This window comes from Homo sapiens, chromosome 2 (genome assembly GCF_000001405.40).
Source record: "Homo sapiens chromosome 2, GRCh38.p14 Primary Assembly".
NCBI lineage: Eukaryota > Metazoa > Chordata > Mammalia > Primates > Hominidae > Homo > Homo sapiens.
This window is the reverse complement of record NC_000002.12, coordinates 136,100,818-136,114,210: the sequence shown is the minus strand read 5'-3', so window position 1 is coordinate 136,114,210 and position 13,393 is coordinate 136,100,818.

Genomic DNA, 13,393 nt, shown 5'->3' with positions numbered 1-13,393 from the left:
TTCTGCTTCTGTTACTAATTACATTTTATAGAAGAGGAAACGGAGGCACAGAAAGCCTAAGTAACTTGGTTAAAGGCATGTAGTAAGTATCAAATCCTGTATTTTAAACCAGGTAACATGACTTAACGAATCTGAAGCCTTCACCACTTTAAATTCAAATGGAAGTTTAGAAATGGCCAGCCAGCACCTATTTGTATGAAAGGTCATCTTTCAGAGGATAAGCATGTATAAAGAAGAAAAGGTATGCAGTCGTGTTTGGATTTTACTCCACCATCCACTTGTGAAACCCAGGTCTGTGCAATGCCAGACGGTGTGTGCTTTCCTCATCCAGTATCCTCAGTGTAGATAACCATCACTCCCTTTTCACAGACAAGAGAACTGAGATTCAGAGACTTTCCATACATTGCACTTTCAAGGGGGCAAAGCCAAGAACTAATTCTGTTTATTGTTCCAGCTCTTGCTCTTAACTCTTACCTACTATTGCCCTTCAGAACACCTGGGCATAAGTCAACTGAACTGCTAATAAAGAAAGCCAAAAGTGAATGTTTTCTTCATAAAATTAACCATGACCAAAATACTCCTCTTGTAATATCTTCTATGCAAATCTCAACACTTTTATTCTTAAACTATCGCAACACCTAGCACCTCCTCAAGGACTCAGCCAAGCAGCTACAAGTTAATACTGATATTTGTTAGAGTCAGAAGGAAGGTCCACTGAAGCAAGCTCCCTGTTGCTCACATTTTGCACAAGATTTTGGAGACTTATGTAACCACCCGTTGCTATTAACACGACCATTGTGCAAGCCCCAGGCTCTTGAGTAAATTTCAGCTTTGGTTTCTATTTAAAGATAATTTCTAAACTCTAGCCATACCTACCTCACATTGGAACACAAACAGGGTACACTCCAGGCATGCACTCAGATAATAAGTAGGATATAATTACGACAATATTTGGTCTACTTTTAGTAATTGTTTCTGGCACAGAAAATCCATTTTGGAGGAAAAATTGCAATGCCTTATCTTTCTGAGGCAAATCACATTTGTTCAAGGCAAATTATAGATCCTGTGAAGGGAAATAACTTAATTACTTAAAATAGAATCCAATTTGGCTGTACATTTTTGCTGCCGTCTATGGATCTGGGGTAATTCAAAGTGGTATTCATATTCTACTTGAGGACACAATTAGATTTCAGATAGGAAATTATCTTGAGGTTTCTTGGTTTTCCCTGAGAAGCCTAATTGGATCACCCTTCATTTAAGCATAGTTTTACATGCACTCTCTCAAAGGCTTAGTCTTAAAGCCACAACCATTGAGACAGACTTCACTTGAACCCTCTCTATAAATATTTATTCTCCGGGAGACAATAGAAGAAATCCTTGGAAGGCATGCTTTTTCTTTCTCATCTTGGCTTGAAACCTCCTTACCCCAGATTCCTCTCCTTTACCGTGGAGTCACAACAAAAGGAACTGAGCCAAAACAAAATTCCCAGTGTCACCAGTCTTAATGGATATTTCATTCTCCCTTGGAACAAAGATGGAATAGCTTTTTTTCCAAAAGAAAAACAAGCCTTGGCTCTCTCCCTGCCCCAAAAGGGTGCCCCCCACCCCCATCATTCTCTGTCCCAACCCTGCCATGTTAGAGCGTCTCCAAAGCCTTCCCTGTGTCGTGGTTTGTCTGACAATGTGGGGAAACCCAGTCTGCTGGCCAGCCCTTGCATGAAGTAGCTGATTGTTCCCTCTCCTCATCCCTTATGAATGGGGCCCTTGAAGTTCAGTCATGTAGATTCAGTTGTATAATGAAAGCTAAAATATTTAAATTGTATGCATGCTGCCAATAACAGCATACATCTGACATCTAACTTATTAATAACATTAAGCCTGCAACTAGGGGGGAAAGTGGATGTTTTCTCTTGCAAAGCCTTTGTTTTCCTAAAATGACACTTGAAAATTTATCTCCCCCTACTGCAGGCTTCCCAGCCCCCTTTTATAATTATGCTTAAATTAAAATAATGATTCTGGGATACTCTTTTGGGGAGATACCCTACAGGCTTTATTTTAATAATTGAACTAAGTGTTTGTGACTTTCTCCTAGATATTGTCAAATATTAAATAAAGGCTCCATAAACAATTGAGCTGTCTTATTCCCAGATAATACCCATTTAGGAGGGGCAAGGATCCCTGGAGACAAAATTTAGATTACTTTGGAAAATAATCAAGGCATCCCCGACACCTAGAAATGCAGAAATGCAACCTTGCAGCCTGGCATCGTAGGAATTTGCTCCACCCACGTTGAGGAAGTCTCACCCATGGCTGCCAGTGTGACTTAGCCAGTCAGTGCTGGAGAGATCCGCAAGCAGCCACAGATAGCATTCCCATGGACACAGCCTCAGAGGGAGGCTGGTGCCTTAGGGGCCGATAAAATAGTTGAAATGAATTCTTTAAACACAATGGTCATCAACCGGGGGCAACTGGCCCAACAGGGAACATTTGGTAAGGTCTGGAAACATTTGGGGTCATCATACTGAGGAAGTAGGGGGCGCGGGGAGGAGTAGTAGACAAGGTGCTAGTGGCATCTAGTGGGGAGGGGCCAGGGATATTGCTAGACATCCTACAATACACAGGACAGCCCCCACAACAAAATGATCTGGCCCAAAATGTCAGTAATGCTCAAAGTTGAGAATCCCTTTTTTAAGGTGATAGTAATAATCGAAATAAGGATATAGCCAACCAGTATAATTCTCTGAAATAGTATGAATCCATAAAAAGCTTGGTATTTGCTATGGTCTGAATGTGTCCTCTCAAAATTCTCATGTTGAAATCCTAACCCTCAAGGTGATGGTATTAAGAGATAGGGTCTTCGGGAGATGATTAGGTCATAAGCATGCAGCCCTCACAATTTGTAATGCCTTTATAAAAGAGATCCCAGAAATCTAGCTAGCCCCTTCTGTCGTATAAGGAAACAGCTAGAAGGTGCCATCTATGAACCAGAAAGTGGGCCTTCACCAGACACAAAATTTGCTGGTGTCTTGATCTTGGACTTCCAAGCCTTCAGAACTGTGAGACATAAGTTTATGTTATTTACATGCCAGCCAGTCTATGGTATTTCATTATAGTAGCCAGAACCGACTAAGACAGTATCACTGGACAGGGTTCCAGGGTGAGTCTCACTTCAATGCACTCTACTCATTCCCACCTTACCGAACCCCCACAATTATCTTCTACATTCATTTCAATGTTACTTTGTCATCGTGACATCTTTCTCTTTGCCTGTTTTCTTCTCTCACTGGAGTATCAGCTTCTCAAGGGCAGGGACACTGTCATTTCTTCTTTGTTCCCTGATGAGCTGCCACAGGCTGTGCTAGGAAGCCATCCTACAAAGAAAAATAAATGGTAAAATGCTGGGGATTCTAATTATCATCAAATATCTGTCTCTCTAAAGCCAACGATGTTTACTCATTTAATCCTCACCACTGCCTGTGACTCAATTTGGAACACTTCCCATTTTTCTCCTTTTATTTAAAAAATGAGTGATGAGGTACCAGCCTATTGTTCCACTGTCTGAAACTGGCTTGGATTAATTTAAATCAATTTTATCAAGTCCAACAATTAAAATCTTCTAAAACCTTCTGAAAATCCTTCTTTCAACTGAAAATTCCAGCTGGCTGCAGGCTGAGTTGAGGGATCCCCAATGTGAAGAAGTCACAGAAGGGACAGAGTTTTTCAAAATCAAACAAATAAAGGTGCTCAACCAAACTACACCAGGTGCTGTGTGTTTATCTGGCAGAGCCAGTCCACTATTAAGTTGATTTACATATTACAGTTCAATTAACCAGAACCCAACTCATCAACACTCTTAATTAAAGGGAATTACTTCCTCGTATTTGACTCTGTCTGAAGAAAAGTAATGTATATTGAAATTCCAGGCACTCTCATATGTAAGATGCAAGAGTCCCAGCAATATTGCTAGCTCCATTTTCAGGCGAGGGCACAGGCAAAGTTTAACTACAAATAAAGGGGTTAATGTTCTTTCTACTACACACACTATAAATGTGAAAACAGGACAACCAATTTCTAGGAGATGTCCTCACATTCTCAACATATTCAGTCCAAACTTCCCTATCTTTTCTATTTCTAGGTCAAGTCCTATGTGATAGCAATAACAGTTAACATTGACCTTGAGGGTTTACTACACACCAAGGGGCTTTGACTATTTAATCTTCGTAACAGCCCTACACAGTAAGTATTATTATTTGCCTATTTTACAGATGGGGAAACTGAAGCATAGAACAAAGCTTAAAATTGGCCCAATGTCACATGTTTTATAAGTGATAAAGCCTGGGTTTGAACCCAGGTCATCTGACACCAGAGTGTGCCTTCCTAAGCACTACAGGAACTTTATTATTTGCCTTAATGTTAGCCAATATTCAGGAAAATAACTATGAAGTCAAAAACATCCTTCATGCTCTTCAGTACTCTTCAGGGTTGAAGACCGGACACTCACCTGATTGTCCTTTTGTAAGTGACAAAGCAGACACTGACATTCTAGAAAGATTTGCACTATTTGTGGTTGAAATAAAATGGGTTTCAAGTTAACTTGATACACTGTGCCTGGCGTATAGTAGGAGCTTCATATTTTGTGGAATAAGCAAATGAATCAACACCCATAAATTCCTATTCCTGGGAGCACACAAAATTCTCTAAGTTTTTTTGTTGTTGTTGTCGTTGTTTTTTGAGACAGGGTCTCAACTCTGACAGTTAGGCTGGAGTGCAGTGGCGCAAACATGGCTCACTGCAGCCTCGACCTCCTGGGCTCAAGCAATTCTCCCACTTCAGCCTCTGGTGTATTTGGGACCACAGGTGTGCACCACCAGGCTCGGGTTATTTGTTTTGTTTTGTTTTGTAGAGACGGGAGTCTCAGCATCTTACCCAGACTGGTCTCAAACTCCTATACTCAAGTGATCCTCCCACCTCAGCCTCCCAAAACGCTGGAATTACAGCCATGAGCCACCACACCCGGCCCTAAGTATTCTGATTAATGTTCCTGTGTATGACTTGACTTCCTTCCTTCGTTCCTTCATTCTTTCACAGTCATTCACTTACTGAATCATTTACTGAACACCACTCTGGACCAGGCAAGTATGAAAGCTGCTCACGGTAGAGTGGAAGATGTAGTCCTTTGATGTTCTAGACATGCTGGAAAATTAGCTAAAGACCTCGCAGACTTTCCAATGTCCAACATTTTAAGAAATCCAAGATTCCACCCACCCACCCAATTTTCCCTCAGTCTTGCTCCCACTCATTCCCCATTTAAGGGGTATCATATCCCAGCCCACCTCACGAGCTGGGTGTCAGGCCCCCAATCCTGATCGTCCTTCCTGCTTTACCAGCCCAAAGGAAGCTGTTCACGTCATGAAGATAAGAGCAAAAGTCCTGCCAAGCCGTAGGATATGGGAAAAAGCCCTGGTGGTAGTTTTTTGGCCTTCTGTTCACAGAAGACAACTTGTTAGGCTCCTGGGATTGAAGAAGGAAATCAAGACCATCATCTTGGACCACATCCCACTTCCTTTGGCAAGCCTACTCTGTTTCTATCAGTCCAAGTGAGCTTTTCCATCCTAAATTCTTAGCACATGAAGTCTGAGACATGGGAAGATCCCACACATAAAAGGCTTTTGAAAAGTTAAAAGAAGCTATTGTAAATGGCATTATCTTCTTTTTAAATTTGTAAACATTGTTTTCTCAACAAATTCAATGTCTTAAGCACCAAGACCTTTGCAGTCTAACATAGTTAATTAATAGATACTTCATTTGATTAAAAAACAATCAGATTCCATAAGGCTGTGCCAATGTTGGCTAAAATTATATAAGGTTAGCTCAGTTGTTTAGGACTTGAGGTTTCCAAAGCCAAAATCAAGGGTGCCAGTCCCCCTGGGCCATTTTTAAAGTAAGCTATACCTGAATGTAAGCTCTGTGAATGTAAAGACTATGTAGGTCTGTTTTGTTCATAGCTGTATTTCCAGTGTCTAGAACATTGGTCCCAAGCTTTTTCTGTAAAGGGCCAGGTAGCAAATACTTTAGGCTACCTAGAGGGCCATGTAGTTTCCAGCACAACCACTCAACTCTGCCATGGTAACAAGAAAATGCATAAAAAAGTGAGTGTGGCTGTTGTGTCCCAATAAAATTGTATCTGTGGACATTGAAATTTAAATTTCATGAAATTTTCATGTGTCATGAGATATTCTCCTTTTGATTTTTTTTCAATCACTAAAACATGTAAAAACCATTCTTTGCTTCTCTGCTATTAAAAACAAAAACAGGTGGCAGGCCAGATCTGACCTGCAGGCTGTGGTTTACCAACCCCTGGTCTAGAATATGCTTAAGCGATAGTAGAAATTTTATAAAAATGAACAAGTGAAACTCGAAATATAAGAAAGTTTACTCTTTAAGCTTCAGGCACTGAAAGCCCCAGAGAACTAGTGACTTTATTCACATAAATGTGATACCTACCACTTATAAGGCACCTTTACTATTGACAAAATGCTTTCACAGGTAACCCTCAATGTGGGTCTGGGTACTGGTTTGCCATATTGCTTGGCAAAATCTTGCTTCTTTACTGGGTCTTTTATTTTAGAAAGAACAATCTGGGGTAAGAGAGTTGCTTTTTTTTAATCCACCTTTGTGCAGCTGTGTCACTTTCATCTCCCAGAGTGCTGATAAAGGTGGCATCTCCTTCTCTTATAACTCCCTGAAGCTACAGCAGTGATGTCTCACTAATGAAAGTTGTTGAGGTGCGCTGACTAACCTTTGTCTGGTGTGAGCAACATCAGCTTTGCTCCTCCAAAGTGATAATCACCAATCACAACTTTTGGCAGTGACTACACAGACAGTCCGTAAATAGGACAAAAGAAAAAGCCATAATCCATGGCAATGAATAGTGTTTCATGGCCACAAGCTGAGCCACAAAAGCCTAAGAAAAATCAATGGTGCAGAAAGCGTTTTTGGACCTGACCCCAGCTCTTGGGGGAAGGAGGATAATTCTATTTCCTTTTAGCCTTCAGGTGCCTCGTGGGAATATCAAAACTAATCTCCAAGGGGCTGCTCTGTTCTGTCTCTTACTAGAAACATCTCCAAGCAAATTCATTACTTTATAGAACACTCTTCCCAAGGTGAGAGGCCCAGCTTCTGTTTCAGATGAAAAGAATGTGAGAAGACGCTGAGGAAACTGCCAAGTGCTTTCTGTGTAAATGTGAGTTTTCTGCTATATCTGGATGACAGCACAAAAGCGGCTGCTCAGTTCCCATGGTCCAGAGTAAAGGAGGACAAGGCGTCCAGGCTAAGGTGGCCCTGGAAAAAAATCCCTAGCCAGATGGAAACCCCATGCGTATGGAGTGGAAAAGAAGAAAGATGTGTGGAAATAGTAAATAAAATCAGAAAGGACTCAAAGTACCCCTTCGCAAAAGAGGAAATAAAACTGATAAACAAAAATATGAGGAAATGTTCATCCTCACTAGCAACCAAATAAATGAAAATCAAAATAACAACACACTGTTTCTTACTTATCAAATTAGCACACATTTTTAAAATAATAACGTCCCAAGGGCCAGAGTAGAGAGAGCCAAGCACCTCTGAGCCCTGCTGGTCAGACATAAGCTGGCCAGACCTTTCCAAAGCCAAGGGCAAACGTCTCCAGAGCCGCTACGCTCATCCCCTTTGATACAGAGAGACCATTTCTAGACACCTAATTTCAGGAAACTGATCCTAAATCTTAAAAATACTCTGTGTACAAAGTTGAGTATTACATTTGTAATAACAAAAAAAAAAAAAAACTGGCATTTGCCTAAACATCTGACAGCAAAATGAGAATGAAACAAACTATGGTGAATCTACAGAATGAAATATTATCCAGCTTCTTAATCAATGTTTAAAAAGAAAATGTTTTTAAACATTCCTCCCTTTCCTACACCTTTGAAAACAAGCCACCATGCACGGCCGATTGGCTTGTTTTAAAAGGTATACAGAAGGGAGGAAAGTTTGTTAGAAAATGTTTACGATGTGTAAAATGAAAGAGGTTCAATAGTCTGCGTATTTTTTTAAAAAGATAAAATGTTGTCAGCAGTAGTTAAGTAATAAGCTTTGGGGCAATTGTAAAATATTTTTTTCTTTTGATTTCTCCCTATTTTCCAAACTTACTATAATGAATAGTGAAAAGATAATTGGCTTGGGTTTGTTGTTGTTTGTTTGTTTTTTGAGACAGAGTCTCGCTCTGTTGCCCAGGCTGGAGGGCAGTGGCACCATCTCAGCTCACTGCAACCTCTGCCTCCTGGGTTCAAGCAATTATCATGCCTCAGCTTCCCAAGTAGCTGGGATTACAGGCATGCACCACCATGCCCAGCTATTTTTTTTTTTTTTTTTTTTTTTAGTAGAGATGGGGTTTCACCATGTTGGTCAGGCTGATCTTGAACTCCTGACCTTCAAATGATCCACCCGCCTTGGGCTCCCAAAGTGCTGGGATTACAGGCGTGAACTGATTGAGTTGTTTTAAAAGGTGTAGGGAAGGGAGGAAAGAAGTCTACAATCCCCATGCTCCTTCCTAGGCTATAAGTACTCCAAGAAAGAACCCTCGTCTCTTCCTTTTCCTCTTTTAATCAACTCAGGACCCAACTAGGCACTAGATAAATGTTGAGTTGAACTGAAATAGGCATTTGTAGGATATCTAAAGAAAAAATCAGACATACATATCACCCTCAAGGTACTTAGAATATAGTAGAGTCCATGTACTGCATAACAATGTTTTGATCAAAGACAGGCCGCATATATGATAGTGGTCCCATAAAATTATAATACCATGCATTTACTGTACCTTTTCTATGTTTATATGGGTTAAGATACAAAAATACCCTTGTGCTACAGTTGCCTATGGTATTCAGTACAGTACCACACTGTAAGCTTTATACCCCAGGAGCAATAGGCTGTACAGCCTAGGTGTGTAGTAGGCTGCACCATCTGGCTTTGTGTAAGCACACTCTGTGATGTTTGCACAATGACGAAATCGCCTCACCACACATTTTCCAGAACACGTCCTGGTCACTGAACAATACATGACTATAGTAGGGTTTACTAGTAGCAGAAATCCTAACTATATTATATTCCCAGTAGTGCCTTTGATGCAGTCTAGCATTTCTGAACTGAAGGTCATGATCTCAAGGAAGCATTCTAGAGAATTCCCAAAGTATAGGAGAATGCAATTCAGGGCTGTGTGTGAGCAGCCACAGGCCAGACTGAACTTATGGCAAGTGAGCATATTTCAAATCAATACATACTCATGGCACCATCTTCACAAGACCAGCCCGTTAAGGCTTTAGTAGAAGCAATACAGATCTGGGGTTTCTCAAAGCACTTCTCCCAGAGAGGTCAAGTCTTTCAAAATCCACAGGAAAGTAAATATACTAGAAAGCCCTAACGGAAATCTCTGAAAGGGTTAGGCATTCACACATGACGGCAATAGTGTGGGGGCCTGAAATGGGAACAATGTGTAAGTGGTCAACCCTAAATATTCCATTTTTGTATTGTATTAGAAAGGAAATGTCATGTTGGGGAAGAACTTCCTTCATTCGAATAAGTCCTCAGAATATAGCCGCACACAACAATGGTGGTTTGCAGCATGTCACATATGCAAGGTTCCAAGGTGGGAAAAGCCAGCGAAAAAGACCAATGCTCACTTTGTGGAGAGGATTCTGCAAGTCTGTTACTTTTATTACTTGAGATAGGCTCAGGAATCAGATCGAAAACAGGGACTAGAAAGGAAAAGCTAACATTTTGCCTATAGTTAAAATGAAATTAATATATTGGCCAGGTGCAGTGGCTCACGCCTGTAATCCCAATACTTCGAGAGGCCGAGGTGGGTGGATCACCTGAGGTCAGGAGTTCGAGACCAGCCTGGCCAACATGGCGAAACCCTGTGTCTACTAAAAATACAAAAATTACCAGGCATGCTTGCATGCACCTGCCATCCCAGCTACTTGGGAGGCTGAGGCAGGAGAATTGCTGGAACCCGGGAGGCACAGGTTACAGTGAGCTGACTGCACCACTGCACCACTGCACTCAAGCCTGGGTGACAGAGACTCCAGTTCAAATAAATAAATAAATAAAATTAATATATTAATAAGTAAAAAGTTAACAATTTGTATTATTATCCTCAAAAACAAATTGTCCAAATGTGACTATAAATTCTTCTAAAAAGTATATGTTTTAATGATAAAGGTATTACCTATTTTGATTGAGATTTTAAATCCACATGGTAAAGACCTTTCTATTCATAGTTTCAAGTGTATGGTCTTTTATGAGTTGAAATTTGTGTCTTTGTTACAATGTATGACTTACCTGGTCAAGCATCACAAGTCTACCTGGAATTATCAAGAGATTTTGGTCTTATACTTCATTATACTTATAGATACACTTATATAACTCTTTGGCTATAAATTAAACATTAAAGGAAGGATATTAATTATTTGCTTTATTTCATGTAATTTTTATTTTTTGTTTTATTGTATTTTATTTCTATTTCCATTAGCATCCAACACAAGTTAAAACACTTTAAGCTGGGCACAGTGGTGCATGCCTGTAGTCCCAGCTACTCAAGAGGCTGAGGCAAGAGGACTGCTTGAGCCCAGGAGTTTGAGACCAGCCTGGGCAACACAGCAAGACCGCATCTCAGAAAAAAATCTTTACACAAAAGAGTTGTTTACTGGCAGTTCTGTTATGGGCTGACTTGGCCCCCACCATGTCCGCCCTGTAAAATTCATTTGTTGAAGCCCTAACCCCCCAGTACCTCAGAATGTGACTGTATTAGGAAATAGTGTTTTTAAAGAGATAAGTAACGTGAAATGAAATCACTGGAATGAGCCCTAATCTGACATAACTGGTGTTCTTTTTTTTTTTTTTTTTTTTTTTTTTGAGACGGAGTCTCGCTCTGTCGCCCAGGCTGGAGTGCAGTGGCGAGATCTCGGCTCACTGCAAGCTCCGCCTCCTGGGTTCACACCATTCTCCTGCCTCAGCCTCCCAAGTAGCTGGGACTACCGGCGCCCGCCACCATGCCCAGCTAATTTTTTTGTATTTTTAGTAGAGACGGGGTTTCACCATGTTAGCCAGGATGGTCTCGGTCTCCTGACCTCACGATCCGCCTTCCTCAGCCTCCCAAAGTGCTGGGATTACAGGCATGAGCCACCGTGCCCGGCCTGGTGTTCTTATAACAAGAGAAAATTAGGGCACAGACACACACAGAGGGAGACCATGTGAAGACATGAGGGGAACATGGCCATCTATAAGCCAAGGAGAATGGCCTCAGAAGAAATCAACTCTGCTGACACCTTGATCTTGGACTTCTATGCTCTAAAACTATGATACAATGAACTTCTGTTGTTTAAACCCCCCCGTCTGTGGTATTTCGTTATGGCAGCCTGAGCAAACTAATACAGCCTCCATCTAAAATGCTGTTGTAGTATGTCTTGTTCTTGCCTCTTCTGTTCAATATAAGCAGGAAAAAAAAAACAAACAAACCTTGTTGTTAAGATATACATTCATTCATTCATTCAACAAATATTTATTGAGCATCAACTATGTGTCAAGTGTTGGGATAGGACAGTAACAAACACAGTGTCAGGCCCCATGAGCTTATAGGCTAGTCACAAAGGAATTACTCTTTTTCTAGAATTATTCTTTATTTCAGAAATAGGCCTTATAAATTGGCCTATAAACTAAATCTTCATAGGGAATGAACTGGGAAAGGAAAATTGACAATAAAACAAAATAATTAAATTTCTAACATTTTAATGTCACATGAGTATATTGCTGGAAGCCCTCTGCATCCATTGTATCTTTTGGGAAGCAGATGCTGAGACAGAGTTAGGAGTACAAGAGGTTTATGAGAGGGTATCGGGTATGAAGATGGAAAGGGAAAGAAAGCAGACTAGGAAGAGAAAGGCTTCAGACTGTGATCTTGGGGAGAAAGCAGGATTGGGAAGAGAAAGCCTCAGACCACATTGAAGATCCAACAAAGTCTTGGCCAACCCAACTGAGAGCTCCCAAGGAAAGGGTACCTGTTAGAGAAGTCCTGTGTTGGGCAGAAATGGCCCTGGGATTTCAACCATGTTCCATCATTGGCTGGGGGCTGCTTGGGAAGAGCAAGTACAGATGCCTCTGCCAGAAAGAGGTGCTCCCAGCTAGAGATTGTTGACTAATTGGGCCCATGGAAAGTTCTTTCTTAATGGGAGATCTGAGCAGCACCTCCTCAATGGTCACAGCCTCCAAAAGGTGATATAAGGACCTGGTTTTCTAGAGATTTTTTTCCAAGTCAGTACAATCTATTCCTTTACACTTAAAACATAGGAACATCTCCCAGCAAGTGCTTTAACAGCCAAAATCAAGGTCTCTAAAGAAATGTATTTTTAACACCTGATATAACTTTAACTTGCCAAATATTTATATAGCAGAAATAAAATTTATAGTGTACATTTTTGTTAAAGTGTGATATGTCTCTATAGGCAAAAGTAGTGTTTGCCCAAAAAATAAAATTGTGCTTTTCAATGCAACTTTAGGGTTTGGAAACTAAAGAAGTCAAATATTGGGAGTTTGAGCTTTTACTCATTCATTCATTCCGTTACTACATTTCAAGTGCTATGCTAGGTGCTTAACACAGCAAAACATACATAGCCCCTGCTCATATGAAACTTAGAAGAGGAGAAATAAATGTTAAATAACCTGGGGAATAAACACACATTTATAAACTGAGCATAGGGCTCTGAAAGAAAAGAGAAACTGATCTGAACTGATTTAGACTGGGGTGGGCCAGGGGTCAAGGAAATGTTAACTGTGCTGGCATCTGAGGAATGAGTGCGTGTTTGGAGAGGGTAAGGGGTGCAGGAAATGACAGCATGAAGGACATGTGCAAAGGCCCTGGGGCAGGAAGAAGTCAGCGAAACTGAGACTCTGTGGCCAGATCTCTAAGATCAGAGGAGAAGTGGTGCCAGGGAAGGCCAGAGAATCAAGACACAGTCACCTCTAGCCTGAATCTGCTAATGTACCTCAAGGACTTTGATCCTTGCTCTAAGAGCAATGGGAAGTGTTTTAAGCAGGGGTGGCTAACACAATCTGTTTGTGTTTTGGTGTTTTGAAATGATAACTTTGACTGTAGTATAAACCAAAAATTAGAAGGGCCCTGAGTGGATCTGGAAAGGCCACCGAGTAAGACAGTGTGTGATTCAGGTGGAGATGACAGTCCCCATCACAGACTGATGTTTCCTTAACTTCCACAATGCATGTTCCAAAATGGGCACTCTGGGGAGGACACCATGGCCTGGGAGATACTACCCTGTCATTGAAATTAAAAGGTCATGGAGGT